This window comes from Homo sapiens, chromosome 2 (genome assembly GCF_000001405.40).
Source record: "Homo sapiens chromosome 2, GRCh38.p14 Primary Assembly".
NCBI classification, from domain to species: Eukaryota; Metazoa; Chordata; class Mammalia; order Primates; family Hominidae; genus Homo; species Homo sapiens.
The window spans coordinates 61,888,848-61,905,077 of NC_000002.12; the positions used below are offsets into that span (position 1 = coordinate 61,888,848).

At 43.9% G+C, this 16,230-nt stretch overlaps 1 protein-coding gene across 3 annotated transcripts in view, besides 1 other annotated feature; it reads left to right on the forward strand.

Annotated features, from left to right (window-relative positions):
- Positions 1-16,230, forward strand: part of COMMD1 (copper metabolism domain containing 1) — a 247,668-nt gene that overhangs the window by 457 nt on the left and 230,981 nt on the right. The gene's annotated exons all lie outside the window — the stretch shown is intronic.
- Positions 519-1,078: an enhancer, noted in NCBI's record as "H3K27ac-H3K4me1 hESC enhancer chr2:62116501-62117060 (GRCh37/hg19 assembly coordinates)". NCBI's record gives its function as "activates a minimal SCP1, AML or CMV promoter by ChIP-STARR-seq in naive H9 embryonic stem cells {active_cell/tissue: H9 hESC(naive)}" and the evidence as "EXISTENCE:reporter gene assay evidence [ECO:0000049][PMID:30033119]".

Sequence of the window (16,230 nt, forward strand, 5' to 3'; positions counted from 1 at the left end):
GACATCCGCATTTCCTCACTCCACCTTGCACGGCTATGAGGTCCCCTCCTTTTTTTTTTTTTTTTTTTCTTTTTTTGGATACAGTCTCACTCTGTTGCCCAGGCTGGAGTGCAGTGGCGCAAAATCTCGGCTCACTGCAGCCTCCGCCTCCCAGGTTCAAGCGATCCTCCTCAGCCTCCCGAGTAGCTGGGATTACAGGCGTCCGCCACCATGCCCAGCTAATTTTTGTATTTTTAGTAGAGACAGGGTTTCACCATGTTGGCCAGGCCGGTCTCGAACTCCCGACCTCAGGTGATCCACCCGCCTCGGGCTCCCAAAGTGTTGGGATTACAGGCGTCAGCCACGAAGCCCGGCCTTTTTTTTTTTTTTTTTTTTTTTTGACAGAGTCTCGCTCTGTCGTCCAGGCGGGAGTGCAGTGGGGCGATCTTGGCTCACTGCAGCCTCGACCTCCGGGGCCCAAGCGATCCTCCCGCCACAGCCTCCCAACTAGCCAGGACGACAGGTGCCCGCCACCATGCCTAGCGAATTTTTGTATTCGAAACATAGCGAGACTGGGTTTCGCTGTGTTGCCCAGGCTGGTCTGACCTCCCCGGCTCAAAGCGGTCCACCCTCCTCAGCGTTTCAAAGTACTGGGATTACAGGCGTGAGCCACCGCGCCCACCCGGAGGTGCCCTCCTTTAACTCCGGCTGGATCTATCCGCGAGGTGGGGTGGGCGCCGGAATAACTCTCTAAGGGATATGACTGAGTCTGTTTTTGCCCGGCCACATAGACCTGCATTTTATGCAGTTTTGTTCATTTTGAAAGGGAGTCAGAAAAGGGAGATTTGGAATGAGGCGAGGTTAGTTATCTCGTATTGGTTGATACTGGGTGGTGGAGGTTTGACAGACTGCCAAATCAGGTCTGTCTAGTTACCACCGCCCGCTTGTTCTACACTAGTGTCTCCTGCATGACGTAGCCACTGACTCTTAGGGAACGTAAACATTATAATAAAGATCATTTATTTCCGTTATCTGCTAAGCACAGTGCTAAACCTTTACACGTTTTATATCTCGTTTAGTCCTCACAATAATCCTTTACTTAAAAGGTGAGAGAACTGGAGCCCAAAGAAGGAACTGAAGCCCAGGGTAAACGAGTCAGTAGATAGAAGCAGTATTCCAATACAAAGCAAGGACCAGAAGCCATGAGCTAAACTGCTGGTCTCCTATGACCACTATATTTCAGTAGGGAAGTTTATGAAATGAGGTTTGTTGAATGTTCGCTCACAATTATTAAGCACCTGCAAAGTGACAGTTGCGTGTGGTAGGTTCAGAAACAAATGTTCAAAGGTACTTAATCTTGTAATTATGAGGTGGTGGTGGTGTTGTTTGTTTGTTTGTTTTTGTTTGTTTTTGAGACGGAGTTTCACTCTTGTTGCCCAGGCTGGAGCAGTGGCACCATCTCGGCTCACCGCAACCTCCGCCTCCCGGGTTCAAGCGATTCTCCTGCCTCAGCCTCCCCAGTAGCTGGGATTACGGGCATGCACCACCATGCCCGGCTAATTTTGTATTTTTAGTAGAGACGGGGTTTCTCCATGTTGGACAGGGTGGTTTCGAACTCCCGAGCTCAGGTGATAGGCCCGCCTCGGCTTCCCAAAGTGCTAGGATTGCAGGCTTGGCGAGAGCCACCTCGCCAAGTTGTTCTTTAACACACATTTAGCATATTAGCACTAGGGGCCTGGCTCAGTAGCTCACGCCTGTAATCCCAGCACTTTGGGAGGCCGAGGTGGGTGGATCGCTTTAGGTCAGGAGTTTAAGACCAGCCTAGCCAACGTGGCGAAACCCCGTCTCTACTAAAAATCAAAACATTAACCGGGGGTGTAATCCCAGCTACTCGGGAGGCTGAGGCAGGAGAATCCCTTGAAGCCAGGAAGTGGAGGTTGCAGTGAGCCGAGATTGCGCCACTGCACTCCAGCCTGGGTGATAGAGCAAGACTTTGTCTCAAAAAAAAAAAAAAAAAAAAAAGAAGGATATTAGCACTAGGAAATGAAGATCCATAAACCTCTGAGGCCGACTTCTCTTCAGAGGACCAGAATACTCCCAAGTAGCACATAAATTCTATGGTTATTTGTTTAGACAACTGATGTAATATGTTGGAAACAAGTGGGTGATGAGGAAATGCATTAATTTTGGGATGTAAAATACTGGATTTGAGTTTATTAATAGCTCTGCTACTTATTAGCTATGTGACCTAAGGAAGGCCACTTAAATCCTTTGGGTCTCATTTTCCTCATCTGTAAAATAGGAGGGTTGAACTAGATGATCTCTAGGGGCTTACTAAACTACTAGTTCTACCAGTGTAAGGAGTCGATCTGTCAGCCATAAAGGACAGAGCAGAATTTGGAAGATGCCATTATTGGCTTCTTGGGAGAGTCTTAAAGTTTTGAGACATGCTTTAAGTATCTGAAATGTTTCAAGTTACAAACATTTCTTTTTCTGTGAAATTGGAATTATTTTTGTTCGTGGGATTAGGCAGTAAATAAATGTTAAACATCGGCTTTCATCAGAGTGTTAATGTACATTATTTCTCCATTAAAATGGGATTTCAACAAATATTAAAACCTAAACATGGCCGGGCGTGGTGGCTCACACTTGTAATCCCAGCACTTTGGGAGGCCAAGGTGGGTGGATCACAGGAGTTCAAGACCAGCCTGGCCAAGATGGTGAAATCCCATCTCTACTAAAAATACAAAAATTAGCCAGGCGTGGTGTCAGATGCCTGTAATCCCAGCTGTTCGGGAGGCTGAGGCAGGAGAATCACTTGAACTCGGGAGGCAGAGGTTGTAGTGAGCCGAGATCATGCCACTGCACTCCAGCCTGGGCGACAGAGTGAGACTCCATCTCAAAACAAAACAAAAACATAAACACTTGTGTAGAGTACTTTAAGCAAAGCACTGTTGCTAATGAAGGGTAAAAATGTTTTTAAAACTTTCTGATATTTATTTTTTATTTATTTATTTATTTTTGAGATGGAGTCTCGCTCTGTCACCCAGGCTGGAGTGCAGTGGCACAATCTCGGCTCACTGCAAGCTCCGCCTCCCGGGTTCACGCCATTCTCCTGTCTCAGCCTCCTGAGTAGCTGGGACTACAGGCGCCCACCACCAAGCCCGGCTAGTTTTTTGTATTTTTAGTAGAGAGGGGGTTTCACCGTGTTAGCCAGAATGGTCTCGATCTCCTGACCCGGTGATCCGCCTGCCTTGGCCTCCCAAAGTGCTGGGATAAAAGGCATGAGCCACCATGCCCGGCCAGCTTTCCTATATTTAAAAAATACTTTCCAAAACAAAACAAAACCAAACAAACAAAAATACTTTCCTGTCAGATCCAAGCAGACGTAAGGCATATGTGGGAATGTTGGCAATAACAATACAATTTCCTTAATAATTTATGAAATAGGTTTTACAAAACAATAATACTTTGTCAGCCATCCAAATGAAGGTTCTCTTTAGAATGAATAGCCCACGATGTCCTAGACCCTCAATAATAGGACTGAGCCAGGAACTGGTTAAGGTTAGAAAAGAAGAGAGGAGGGGCCAGGTGCGGTGGCTCATGCTGTAATCCCAGCACCTTGGGAGGCGGAGGAGGGTGGATCAGCTGAGGTCAGGGGATTGAGACCATCCTGGCTAACACGGTGAAACCCTGTCTCTACTAAAAATACAAAAAATTAGCCCGGTGTTGTGGCATGCACCTGTATTCCCAGCTACTGGGGAGGCTGAGGCAGGAGGATCGCTTGAACCTGGGAGGTGGAGGTTGCGGTGAGCCGAGATCGTGCCATTTCACTCCAGCCTGGGCAACAAGAGGGAAACTCTGTCTCAAAAAAAAAAAAAAGAAAAGAAAAGAAGAGAGGGCTGTATGTATCTTATCTCTCTTAGGTTTTACTCCAATTCAAAGACAGTGTTTGTTGTTATTTTGTATTTTTCTCTGCATTAGTTTATTATCGAGACCACCATTAAGCCCCGTTTTCCTAAGCCTTACTGTTTGCATCGTTCTTTTTTTTTCCCCCCTGAAACGGAGTCTCGCTCTGTCGCCCAGCCTGGAGTGCAGTGGCGCAATCTCAGCTCACTGCAACCTCTGCTCCACGGGTTCAAGTGATTCTCCTGCCTCAACCTCCCGAGTAGCTGGGACTATAGGCATGCGCCACCGTGGTCGGCTAATTTTGTATTTTTAGTAGAGACGGGGTTTCACCATGTTGGCCAGGCTGGTTTCGAACTCCCGACCACAGGTGATCTGCCCACCTTGGCCTTTCAAAGTACTGGGATTACAGGTGTGAGCCACCATGCCTGGCCTCATTCTATGTTTTTAAGTTTAGCTTGCAATAGTAACATGAAGCAGAGGCCTTGTTTCATTAAGTATATTTTGATTTTCCTAATTTTCCTAGAAAGGTTTCTAGTTAACATTTTTGTTACTTTCTAACCTTCCCAGTTAAAATATTTGTCTGAAAATGGGAAGAGGTTGATTGTTGGCAATAGTAAAAAATAAAAATTTAAAAGTTTAAGAAAAACAAATAAAAATGAAAATGGGAAGAGGAAAAGCCAAAGGAGGGTGCTGGCAAACTTAGAAGTTTTGTGATGTGTGAGTAAACAGCCAGGTTTTCTATCGAAAAACAGGAATGAACTAAACTTTCATTATTGTAGTACTAACAAGAGTTACAGGCCGGGCGCCTTGGCTCACGCCTGTAATCCCAGCACTTTGGGAGGCTGAGGCAGGCAGATAGCTTGAGGTCAGGAGTTCGAGACCAGCCTGGCCAACGTGGTGAAACCCTGTCTCTACTAAAAATACAAAAATTAGCTGGGCATGGTGGCACATGCCTATAATCTCAGCTACTCAGGAGGGTGAGGAAGGAGAATTGCTTGAACCTGGCAGGCGGAGGTTGCAGTGAGCTGAAATCACACCATTGCACTCCAGCTTGGGCAACAAGAACCTCCATCTCAAAAAAAAAAAAAAAATTGAGAAAAATTGCAAATTTGTGGGCAAAAGACATGAGTGTTGTTTTAGGGGTCCAGGATGTGGTGGGGCACAATACAAAAAGTAAGGCAAGCTGGGCACAGTGGTGTGTGCCTGTAGTCCCACTACTCACGAAGTTCAGGTAAGAGAACAGCTTGAGCCCAGGAGTTAAAGGATGCACTCTTATGATTGTGCCTGTGACTAGCCATTGAACTCTAGTCTGGGCAACATAGCAAAACCCCATCATTGTTTTTAAAAAGTAAGACAAGCTGACTTTATTTATTTATTTTTTTGAGATGGAGTCTTGCTCTGTCACACAGGCTGGAGTGCAGTAGCACGATCTTGGCTCACTGCAACCTCTGCCTTCCAGGTTAAATGGATTCTCCTGTCTCACTCAGCCTCCCAAATAGCTGGGACTACAGTATCGTGCAACTACAACTGGCTATTGAATTTTTTTAGTAGAGATGGGTTTTTGCCATGTTGGCCAGGCTGGTCTTGAACTCCTGGTCTCAAGTGATTCACCCGCCTTGGCCTCCCAAAGTGTTGGGATTACAGGCGTGAGTCACCATTCCCAGCCTAAAAAAGTGAGGCAAGCTGACTTTATACACATCCTGCTGGAAGAATGAAAAAAAAAAAATATTAATCAAGTTCCTAGATCCAACTACCAATGTATGGGTTTACAAGAAATACAAGGATTTCTTGTATTTGTTAATGTGAAATGTGACGTAAATGTGGACTAGAAACGTTTCAAGGAAAATTAAGAAAATCAAAATATACTTAATGAAACTAGGCCTCTGCTTCATGTTACTATTGCAAGCTAAATTAAAAAAAATAGAATGATGATATATATATATTTATATATTTTTTAATTAAAAAAAAAATTTTTTTTTTTTGAGATGGAGTCTCACTCTGTAGCCCAGGCTGGAGTGCAATGGTGCGATCTTGACTCACTGCAACCTCCACCTCCCAGGTTCAAGCAGTTCTCTGCCTCAGACTCCCAAGTAGCTGGGATTACAGGCATGCACCACCACGCCCAGCTAATTTTGTATTTTTAGTAGAGGCAGGGTTTCACCACGTTGGCCAGGCTGGTCTCAAACTCCTGACCTCAGGTGATCCACCTGCCTACCAAAGTGCTGGGATTACAGGTGTCAGCCACTACACCTGGTCTAGAAGAATATATTTTTAAAATAGTACCATGAGGATGCAATCAGTAAAATGTAGAATGTGAAAAACTCTTTAGGACAAATGACCTATAAATAAATTGCAAGAAAATTAACAATAGCAACAATGAAGATGAAAGGGTAACTTATGGAATAAGAGAGATTTAAGAAAGTGAGAGATTTAAGACAGCCAGGAGAGTGACATCAGCAAAATGGGAGACCAGGAGCTGCCTCACTTGTGTCTCCCCACAGCGACAATAGTTTTTAGCTTTTCAGCTGTCCACAGATAAAAGTACCTCTGTTGGGAACTAGGTAGGAGACTGTGAAACACTTGTGGAGCCCAAGATCCAGGAAGGCTGTTTTGAGACAGCAGAACCGCACCCAGGTAGCAGACTCGTTGATCGAGGTTGCAGCTCCAGACTTGGAAATGGTGCTACCTCCCTGTGGACCTGGCTACAGCCCTCTTTGGCCTTGGTCCTGCTACTAGACCATCTGCTTAGGGATCTGGAGGAGTCATAACTACTTGTGTCTCAGGTGGCAAGGCCCACCAACATCAGTTTCATAGCAGACCCTGCAACAGCTCTAAGTCTCAGCCCCAGCCCTCCTCTGAGAGCAATCCTGCCCGCAAAGAGACCCAGGGGTGATATGCTACCCATGCCCCAGGAAGCAGGCCTGCAGATTTCACTTTTGCCTGTGGACCCTGAAGCAGCCCAATGACTTGGTTCCAGCCCCTCTTAACTACCGTTAGGGCCAGTACTGCCTGCCCAAGGACTCACCCAGTGACCTAGCAGGAAGCTTACCAGGAAACAGGAGGAAGCCACACCAGTCTGTGCATCTGGTAATAGGCGCATTGTCTGCAGACCTCCATCCCAACACCAGCCCTACTGACCAAGGTCCTAGGGGCAGTCCAGTCCACCCATGGACCAGACAGGATCCACACCCATTAGAGCCCATGGTAACAAGCTTGCCAACTGTGAACTCCACTGTGGACCCAGCTCCAACCCCATTTGAGTGCCATCCCATCAATTCAGGGACCCAATAGGAGAAGGCCTTTTCCTGCTAAAACTAGTCTATAAAGACTGGAAGAGGTGTTTGTTGCTTTAAATACATAAACACCAATGCAAAGTTACATGGATAACAAAGACTCAGGTAAACATGACACCATCAAAGGAAACTGCTATGGTTTGAATATCTTTGTCCACTCCAAAATTCATGTGTTGGAAACTTAATCTCCAATGCAACAGCGTTGGGAAGTGGGGCCTCCTCCAGTTCCTTTGCCACACTGCTACCACAGAGGGATCTTTTAAGAACTCAAATCTGGCTGGGTGAGGTGGCTCATGCCTGTAATCCCAGCACTTTGGGAGGCTGAGGCAGGAGAATAGCTTGAGCCCAGGAATTTGAGATCAGCCTGGGCAACATAGTGAGATCCTGTCTCTAAAAAAAAAAATTAGCTGGGCACAGTGATCTGCACCTGTAGTCCTAGCTACTCGAGAGGCTGAGGCAGGAGGATCCTTTTGAGCCTAGAAGTTCGAGGTTGCAGTGAGATAGGATCACACCACTGCACTGGGTGGCAGAGTGAGACCCTATCTCAGAAAAAAACAAAACCCCAAATCTGATCTTGTTATTACTCCTCTGCTTACAACTCTTCAGGGACTCCTGAAGTAGTTGAGAACACACCACCCCAAATAAGCTACTCTGGTTCTTATTGATTATTTTGAGTTAAAAGCACCTAAAAAACAGCAGATGCATAAAGGGTACTCTGACTTGACTTTTTCTTCCTGAAAGCAGAAGCAGAAGATAAAACTCACATATGAAAGGTGTTCTTTTTCCTTTTCTTTTTTTTTTTTTTTTGTTTTTTTTAGACAGTCTTGCTCTGTCGCCCAGGCTGGAGTGCAGTGGCACCATCTTGATCTCGGCTCACTGCAACCTCCGCCTCCCAGGTTCAAGTGATTCTCATGGTTCAGCCTCCCGAGTAGCTGGGATTACAGGTGCCCGCCACCACATCTGGCTAATGTTTGTGTTTTTAGTAGAGATGGGGTTTCACCATATTGGCCAGGCTGGTCTCGAACTCCTGACCTCAAGCAATCCACCCACCTCAGCCTCCCAAAGTGTTGGGATTACAGGCGTGAGCCACTGTGCCCACCTAGAGGATATTCTTAACACCAGAAATAGGGAATCAAGGCCATAAAAAATCTGTATTAAAAAACCTTGTTAAATGAATTCTTATCTTCCTGGTCACTTCTCCATGATTAACTACCCTAGACCAAGTCCATATTTTCACAATTTACTACTCTTTGTCCCACTTAGCATATAATCATATGGCTCAAACTGCTTCTTTGGGTCATTTCCTTATGAAGGCTCCTGTGTCATGTAAAACTTATATTAAACAAATTTGTATGCTTTTCTCTTGTTAAGTTGTGTTTTGTTACAGAGCTCCAGCCAAGAACCCTAAGATGGGAAGGGGAAAGATTTTTCCTTCTCTACACTTCCCAATGGTTAAGTATAAAAATTGGCATTACTTGGGAGGCCGAGGTGGGTGGATCACCTGAGTTCAGGAGTTTGACACCAGCCTGGCCAACATGATGAAATCCCGTCTGTACTAAAAATACAAAAAATTAGCTGGGCGTGGTGGTGCATGCCTGTAATCCCAGTTACTCAGGAGGCTGAGGCAGGAGAATCGCGTGAACCCAGGAGGCGGAGGTTGCAGTGAACCAAGATTGCGCCACTAGACTCCAGCCTGGGCAACAAGAGCAAAACTCTGTCTTTAAAAAAAATATATATATATTGGCCATTACATGTAAACTCTTTATCCCTATGTCCTAGGCCCTGTCTGTTTTTTCAGATTTATTACCCTAGGCTCCTGGTTCCATTCTTGCTATACTATTTACAGAGGACTCAACACCTCACTCTGTTTCATGCCTCCATATATAGGGACGAGTTATTTCATCTGCAGCATATTCTGATATTCACCATTAAGCCTCTCCTGACCTACTCCAGCTGAATTAATGGAATCTTCTTCTACCAGCAAACCTGATAGCTACTTTTAGGTACTAAGTAATAACAACTCAGTCCATTGTATTTTAATAATTTATTTACATGTAATTTTCCCTTACCAGAATGTAAGATTTTAAGGCAGAGACAGTCATTCATTTCTGTATCTCCTGGAGCCAAGAAGAATGGATTGCAAATGCTCTCAACTAATACCTGTTGCTGGGGCATGGTGGCTTACACCTGTAATCACAGCAGTTTGGGAGGTCAAGGTGGGAGGATCACTTGACCTCAGGAGGTGGAGACCAGACTGGGCAACATGGTGGGACTCTGTCTCTAAAACAAGTTTAAAAATCAGCTAGACGGGCTGGCACACATCTGTAGTCCCATCTATGCGGGAGGTTGAGGCAGAAGGATAGCTTGAGCCAGGGAGGTTGGGTTTGCAGTAAGCTGGGATCACGCCACTGCACTGCAGCCTGGATGACAGAGTGAGACCCTGTCTCAAGAAAATAAAATCTGTTGAGTGGCCAGTTGAGCGAAGGGTGAATGTTAATAACAGCAGAATTGGAGAAAGTAGAATGGAGACAGAGGGCAGGTAGAGCTCATTGTAAAACTTTGGGGCCCTTGGGTTTGCACACATTTCAGTTCACGTTTTATATAATATTTTAATGTTTTCAGAGGTGGAAAACCTCATTAAAAAAACACCTATTACTTGCCTGGGACCAGTTGCTTAATGGAACTTAGGATGAAAACCTATTTGGCCACAATAGAAAGGAAACCTGTTTACAAGGAGGGCTTAGTTAGGTATTTATAATTTCCCTTTGCATCAAGGCTTCAGGGTCTTTTTCTTACCGTTTCCTTGCCTTAGACAATTCTTTTAATAGGCCTATACCCAGCTTTGTTATCTACAAAATAGGTTGTTTTGAGAGTTAATAAAATAAAACTTTGTACTTGGATCCTTTTGCTTGAAAGCCATTCTAAAAATGCAGCTGCTACCAAGTTTCAACAGTTACATTGGCAATAGCAGCCCCTGGTGGCACAGGAATTTATGTTATTGCTCACTCTGATATTTTGGAACGTGCTGTAGGCTCAGGCAGGCAGTAATATGTCCAGTGATATGTGGCAGAATATGCTATCCCAAAATATGCCACTTTGGCATAAGGATTATTTTGAGCTAAAGACACATTAAAAAAAATAGGTGCAAGAAGGGACTCTGATTCTTCCCCTTTTCTTCTTTAAAGCAGGAGATAAAACCCCCATATGGAAGATGTCCTCCCTTTACCAGAAGGAAGGCAACATTCTTATTGTCAAGGATGGGAAGTTGAGACTGAGAAAATTCTGTACAAACAGACCTTGTTAAAATAATTTTTATCTTCCTTTAGCCTCCCCACATAGTTTAGTTACTTTTCTGCCATTGCCTGTCTTTGTTCATCCTAATATAAAAGCATTTAAGTGTTCCCACTTTTGTGGGTCTTCATTTACTTATGAGGGCTTCCATGTCATACATTATATTAAATAATATAAACTTATATTAAATAAGTCTGTATGTCTTTCTCCTGTTAACCTGTCTTAATGTTAAGTTTAATTCTCGAGTCCAGCCAAAAAACCCTAAGAGGGCAGAGGTAAAATTTTGCCTCTTCTACACATACATTTGAGTAGGAGTTAAATAATGATAGCAATGTTTTTGGTTGTTCTTGTTGTTTTGTTTGTTTGTTTTTTTGAGGCAGAGTCTTGCTCTGTCGCCCAGGCTGGAGTACAGTGGCGTGATCCCAGCTCACTGCAACCTCAACCTCCCTGGCTCAAGCTATGCTGCCTCAGCCTCCTGCATAGTTGGGACTACAGACGTGTGCCACCCCACCCAGCTAATTTTTGTATTTTTAGTAGAGACAGGGTTTTACTGTGTTGGCTAGGCTGGTCTTGAACTTCTGATCTCAAGTGATCCGCCCACCTTGGTTTCCCAAAGTGCTGGGATCACAGGTGTGAGCCACCGCGCCCAGCCTGTATTTTCACTTGCTTCTAAAAGAGTAATGTATTTCTTGTGAAGGTTAATTAGAGCTGGGAGTACTCAGGAGTTCTTAGTCATGTTAAAAGAAAAACCAAACTCTGTAAAATTTTTTAGATATTTATTCAGGGCCAATGTGACTGATCACAGCCTGGGAAAGACACAAACCCAAGGAACTTTGAGTAAGTGGTCCTGAGGTGGTCAGATTACAATTTTATGCATTTCAGGGAGGCAGGAGTTACAGGCAAAGATGTAAGTCAACACATGGAAGGTGTACATTGGTTCGGTCCAAGAAGTCAGGATATGCTGAAGTGGGGACTTACAAGTTACAGGTGGATTCAGAGATTGTTTAATTTGCAATTGGTTAAAGTCATAAGGCTCTGTCTAAAACTTGGAGTCAGAAGAAAGAAATGTTGAAGATAAGGATGCTATGTCAGAGTTAGCCACAATATTTTGCGTCAAAATGACCTATTCAGCAAGACTGATGGCCTGCAGGCATGACTTAACTCTTGCCTTGCATGGCCTTAGGTCTTTCTATAATTTGGTATCTTATTGCCACAGAGTCTTATGATCCCTATTTTAACATTAATGCCAGTCAGTTGTGTCTAAACTCTAAAAGGGAGGAAGTAGAAGGATGAATGTCTGATCTCTTCCTGTTATGGGTGGAAACACAATTTTCAGGTTTCTCTGGGGTCCCCTTGGCCAAGAGGAGGTCTGTTCACTCAGTGGGAGGCTTAGGATTTTATTTTTAGTTTACAGTCAGGACCCATGGAAAACTAGGGGGTTTATAGAAAGACTTCTGAGGGATAAAGTAGCCAATAGATATTGTAGGCTACATTTGGTGGGTGTTTATATTTTGGGGAGAAAGTGTCTGAGGCTTTTATCAGATTCTGAAAGCATCTAGTAATATCAAAAAGTTTAAGATTCATATTCAGTGGACATGGAAAATAAAAATTTTAAATTAAAACACTTTTATTTTTATTTTTATTTTTGAGACAGTCTTACTCTGTCACCCAGGCTGGAGTGCAGTGGCGTGATCTCGGCTCACTGCAACCTCCACCTCCTGGGTTCAAGCAATTCTCTTGTCTCAGTCTCCTGAGTAGCTGGGATTACAGGCACCTGCCACCGCACCCAGCTAATTTTTGTATCTTTAGTAGAGACAGGGTTTCACCATGTTGGCCATGCTGGTCTTGAACTCCTGACCTCAGGTGATCTGCCTGCCTCGGCCTCCCAAAATGCTGGAATTACAGGTGTGAGCCACTGCGCACGACCAAAACACATTTTTTTAAAAAAAGCAAGGTTCATGGCTTTTCTCTGCAATGTAGAATACACATGTCCTTTAAAGCTTTCATTGAAAGATTTTTATTGCTGGGGGCAGTGGCTCATGCCTGTAATCCCAGCACTTTGGGAGGCCGAGGTGGGTGGATCACCTGAGGCCAGGAGTTCAAGACCAGCCTGGCCAAGATGGTGAAACCTTATCTCCACTAAAAATACAAAAATTAGGTCAGCGTGGTGGTGTGCATATGTAATCCCAGTTACTAGGGAGGCTGACACATGAAAATTGCTTGAATCCAGGAGGTGGAAGTTGCAGTGAGTAGAGATCCTGCCATTGTACTCCAGCCTGGGCAACAGAGTGACACTCTGTCCCCCCACAAAAAATAATTTTATTTTAGGACCTACTACTTATTTAATTTTTTCATTAAATAACTTTTTATTACAACAGTATTACATGTACACTGTAGATATTTAGAAAAATCAGATAAGCAGAAAGCCATCCTCAGTTACTAAGAGATGTACACTATAACTATGTTGGTGAATAAACTTCCAGACTTTTTCTACGTAGGTTGATAGATTTGACTCTATTTTATTTTATTTATTGAGACGGAATCTTGCTCTGTCACCAGGCTGGAGTACAGTGGCATGATTTTGGCTCACTGCAACCTCTGCCTCCTGGGTTCAAGCGATTCTCCTGCCTCAGCCTCCCAAGTAGCTGGACTACAGGCACGCGCCATCACGCCCAGCTAATTTTTGTATTTTTAGTAGAGATGAAGTTTCACCATGTTGGCCAGGATGGTCTCGATCTCTTGACCTCGTGATCCACCCACCTTGGCCTCCCAAAGTTCTGGGATTACAGGCGTGAGCCACCGCACCCGGCCTAGATTTGACTATATAAACATGGAGAAAATATTTGCATGTAGGTAACAAGCACTAATATTTCTATGCATAAAGAGCTCTTAGAAATCACTGAAGTGTCCGGGCACGGTGGCTCACGCCTGTAATCCCAGCACTTTGGGAGGCCGAGGCAGGTGGATCACGAGGTCGGGAGTTCGAGACCAGCGTGCCCAAGATGGTGAAACCTTGTCTCTACTAAAAATACAAAAATTAGCCAGGTGTGGTGGCGCACGCCTGTAGTCCCAGCTACTTGGGAGCCTGAGGCAGGAGAATCGTTTGAACCCGGGAGGCGGAGGTTGTGGTGAGCCGAGATCATGCCATTGCACTCCATCCAGCCTGGGCGACAAGAGCGAAACTCCACCTTAAAAAAAAAGAAAAGAAATCACTGAAGTGACAGAAACCCCTATAGAAAATGGACAAGGAAATAGGAAGAAATATAAGCAGCCAATAAATATAGTAAAAAAAATTTACTCTCAAAATTTAAGAAATGCGAATTAAAACAGTGAGATAATATTTTTCATGTATCATATGGCAAAGGTTATAAAGAATAATATAGCTGGGTACGGTAGTGTGTGCTCATATTCCCAGCTACTTAGCCTGAGATCGGAGGATAACTTGGGCCTGGGAGGTCGAGACTGCAGTGAGCCAACATCGTGCCACTGCACTCCAGCCTGGGCAACAGAGTGAGACTCTGTCTCAAAAATTAAATTAAATGAAATTAAAAGAATAATATCAGTCAGTGTTACTAAGGTTTCATAGAAATAGGTGCAGCCTTTCTGGTGGGTAATTTGTAAATTACGTGTTTAATAGTGCTTTTTCTGCTTGCCACCTTTTGATTTATGCTTTTTCTTTTTCACCAACCATTCTCTGCAACTTCTGTAAGTACATGTAAAACAATCTATAGTTTGTCACTAAGTTTGGTTTACTTGGAGCCATGGAAGCAACTCTGAATTTGCCTTTTATAAAATTATTTTAGGAAAAGAAATATATTTTTTCTATTGTAAAAAATGCCTCTGGCCAGGTACAGTGGCTCACACCTGTAATCCCAGCACTTTGGGAGGCTGAGGTGGGTGGATCACCTGAGGTCAGGAGTTTGAGACCAGCCTGGCCAACATGGTGAAACCCCTTCTCTACAAAAAATACAAAAATTAGCTGGGCGTGGTGGCGCATGCCTATAATCCCAGCTACTTGGGAGGCTGAGGCAGGAGAATCACTTGAACTTGGGAGGTGGATGTTGCAGTGAACCGAGATTGTGCCACTGCACTCCAGCCTGGGCAACAGAGTAAAACTTTGTCTCAAAAAAAAAAAAAAGAATACCTCTTTACTGGATAAACATTAATTAAAGTAGTCTAGATGAGTAGATTCTCAACAATGTGGCACTGCCTTGAAAGGGGCATTTCAGTTGTCACTTTTTTTTTTTTTTGAGATGAAGTTTTGCTCTTGTCCCCAAGGCTAGAGTGCAGTGGCACCATCTCTGCTCACTGCAGCCTCTGCTTCCTGAGTTCAAGCAATTCTCCTGCCTCAGCCTCCCGAGTAGCTGGGACTACAGACATGTGCTACCATGCCTGGCTAATTTTTGTATTTTCAGTTTCACCATGTTGGCCAGGCTGGTCTCGATCTCCTGACCTCAGGTGATCCACCCACCTCAGCCTCCCAAAGTGCTGGGGTTACAGGCGTGAGCCACCATGCCCGACCTCAGTTGTCACTTTGAAGGAAGGGTAGGAATGGAATAGGTGGGAGAGAGGTCAGATATATAAGACATCTTCCCATGCAGGGTACGTTCATAAAGGTGAAAAACCTGTTTGTTATTATCTAAGCCTAAAGTCAAACTCTATTTTATATAGAAACACAATGTATTATTATTATTATTTTATTTTTTTGAGACGGAGTCTCCCTCTTTCACCCAGGCGACAGAGTGCAGTGGCGTGATCTCGGCTCACTGCAAGCTCCACCTCCCAGGTTCATGCCATTCTCCTGCCCCAGCCTCCCGAGTAGCTGGGACTACAGGCGCCCGCCACTAGGCCCGGCTAATTTTTTTGTATTTTTAGTAGAGATGGGGTTTCACCGTGTTAGCCAGGATGGTCTTGATCTCCTGACCTCGTGATCCGTCTGCCTCGGCCTTCCAAAGTGCTGGGATTAGAGGCGTGAGCCACCGTGCCCGGCAACACAATGTATTTTTAGTTTAGCATTAATATATACAGAATATTCCAGCTTTGCAATGACTGTAGAGTGAGGAAAGAGTGTTTTTTGTTGTAAACTTTACCAACTGTTGTTCACATTTCAGAACATCAGTTCTTAACATTTCAGAACATCATGTTACCAGAAGCAACTGCCCTCCCTCTGGAGTCACCAATACCACACACCTGTATCAATTTGCATTTGTAGAAGTCACAGGTGGTTCTACATAAAGATGTAAAGATGCAGACATCTGGCTACTTTGTATGTCTTTTAGTCAACTAGTATAGGTGTACCCAAACACACATATTATATTATAAATTCCTTTTCATTTTATGATAAATTACAATTAGGTCATTAAATTGATTTTTCAATTGAGATATTCACATACTGTGAAACTAATCTTTTAAAGTGTACAATTCAGTGGGTTTTAGTATATTAACAAGGTTGTGCTTCCACTTCCGGAATGTTTTCATCATGCCCCAAAGAAACTCTGTACCTATAAACAGTCACTACCCATTCGTCCCCTTCTCCAGATTCTGCCAACTATTACATTACTTTCAGTCTCCATGGATTTGTCTATCCTGGACATTTCATATAAATGGATGTCCAATATTTGGCCTTTTATATCTGGCTTCTTTTACTAATCCTGTTTTTAAGTCTCATTCACGTTGTAGCATGTATCAGTACTTTATTCCATTTTATGGCTGAATAATATATTGATTTTAAAAAATTATATGGGTGGGAAGTTATATT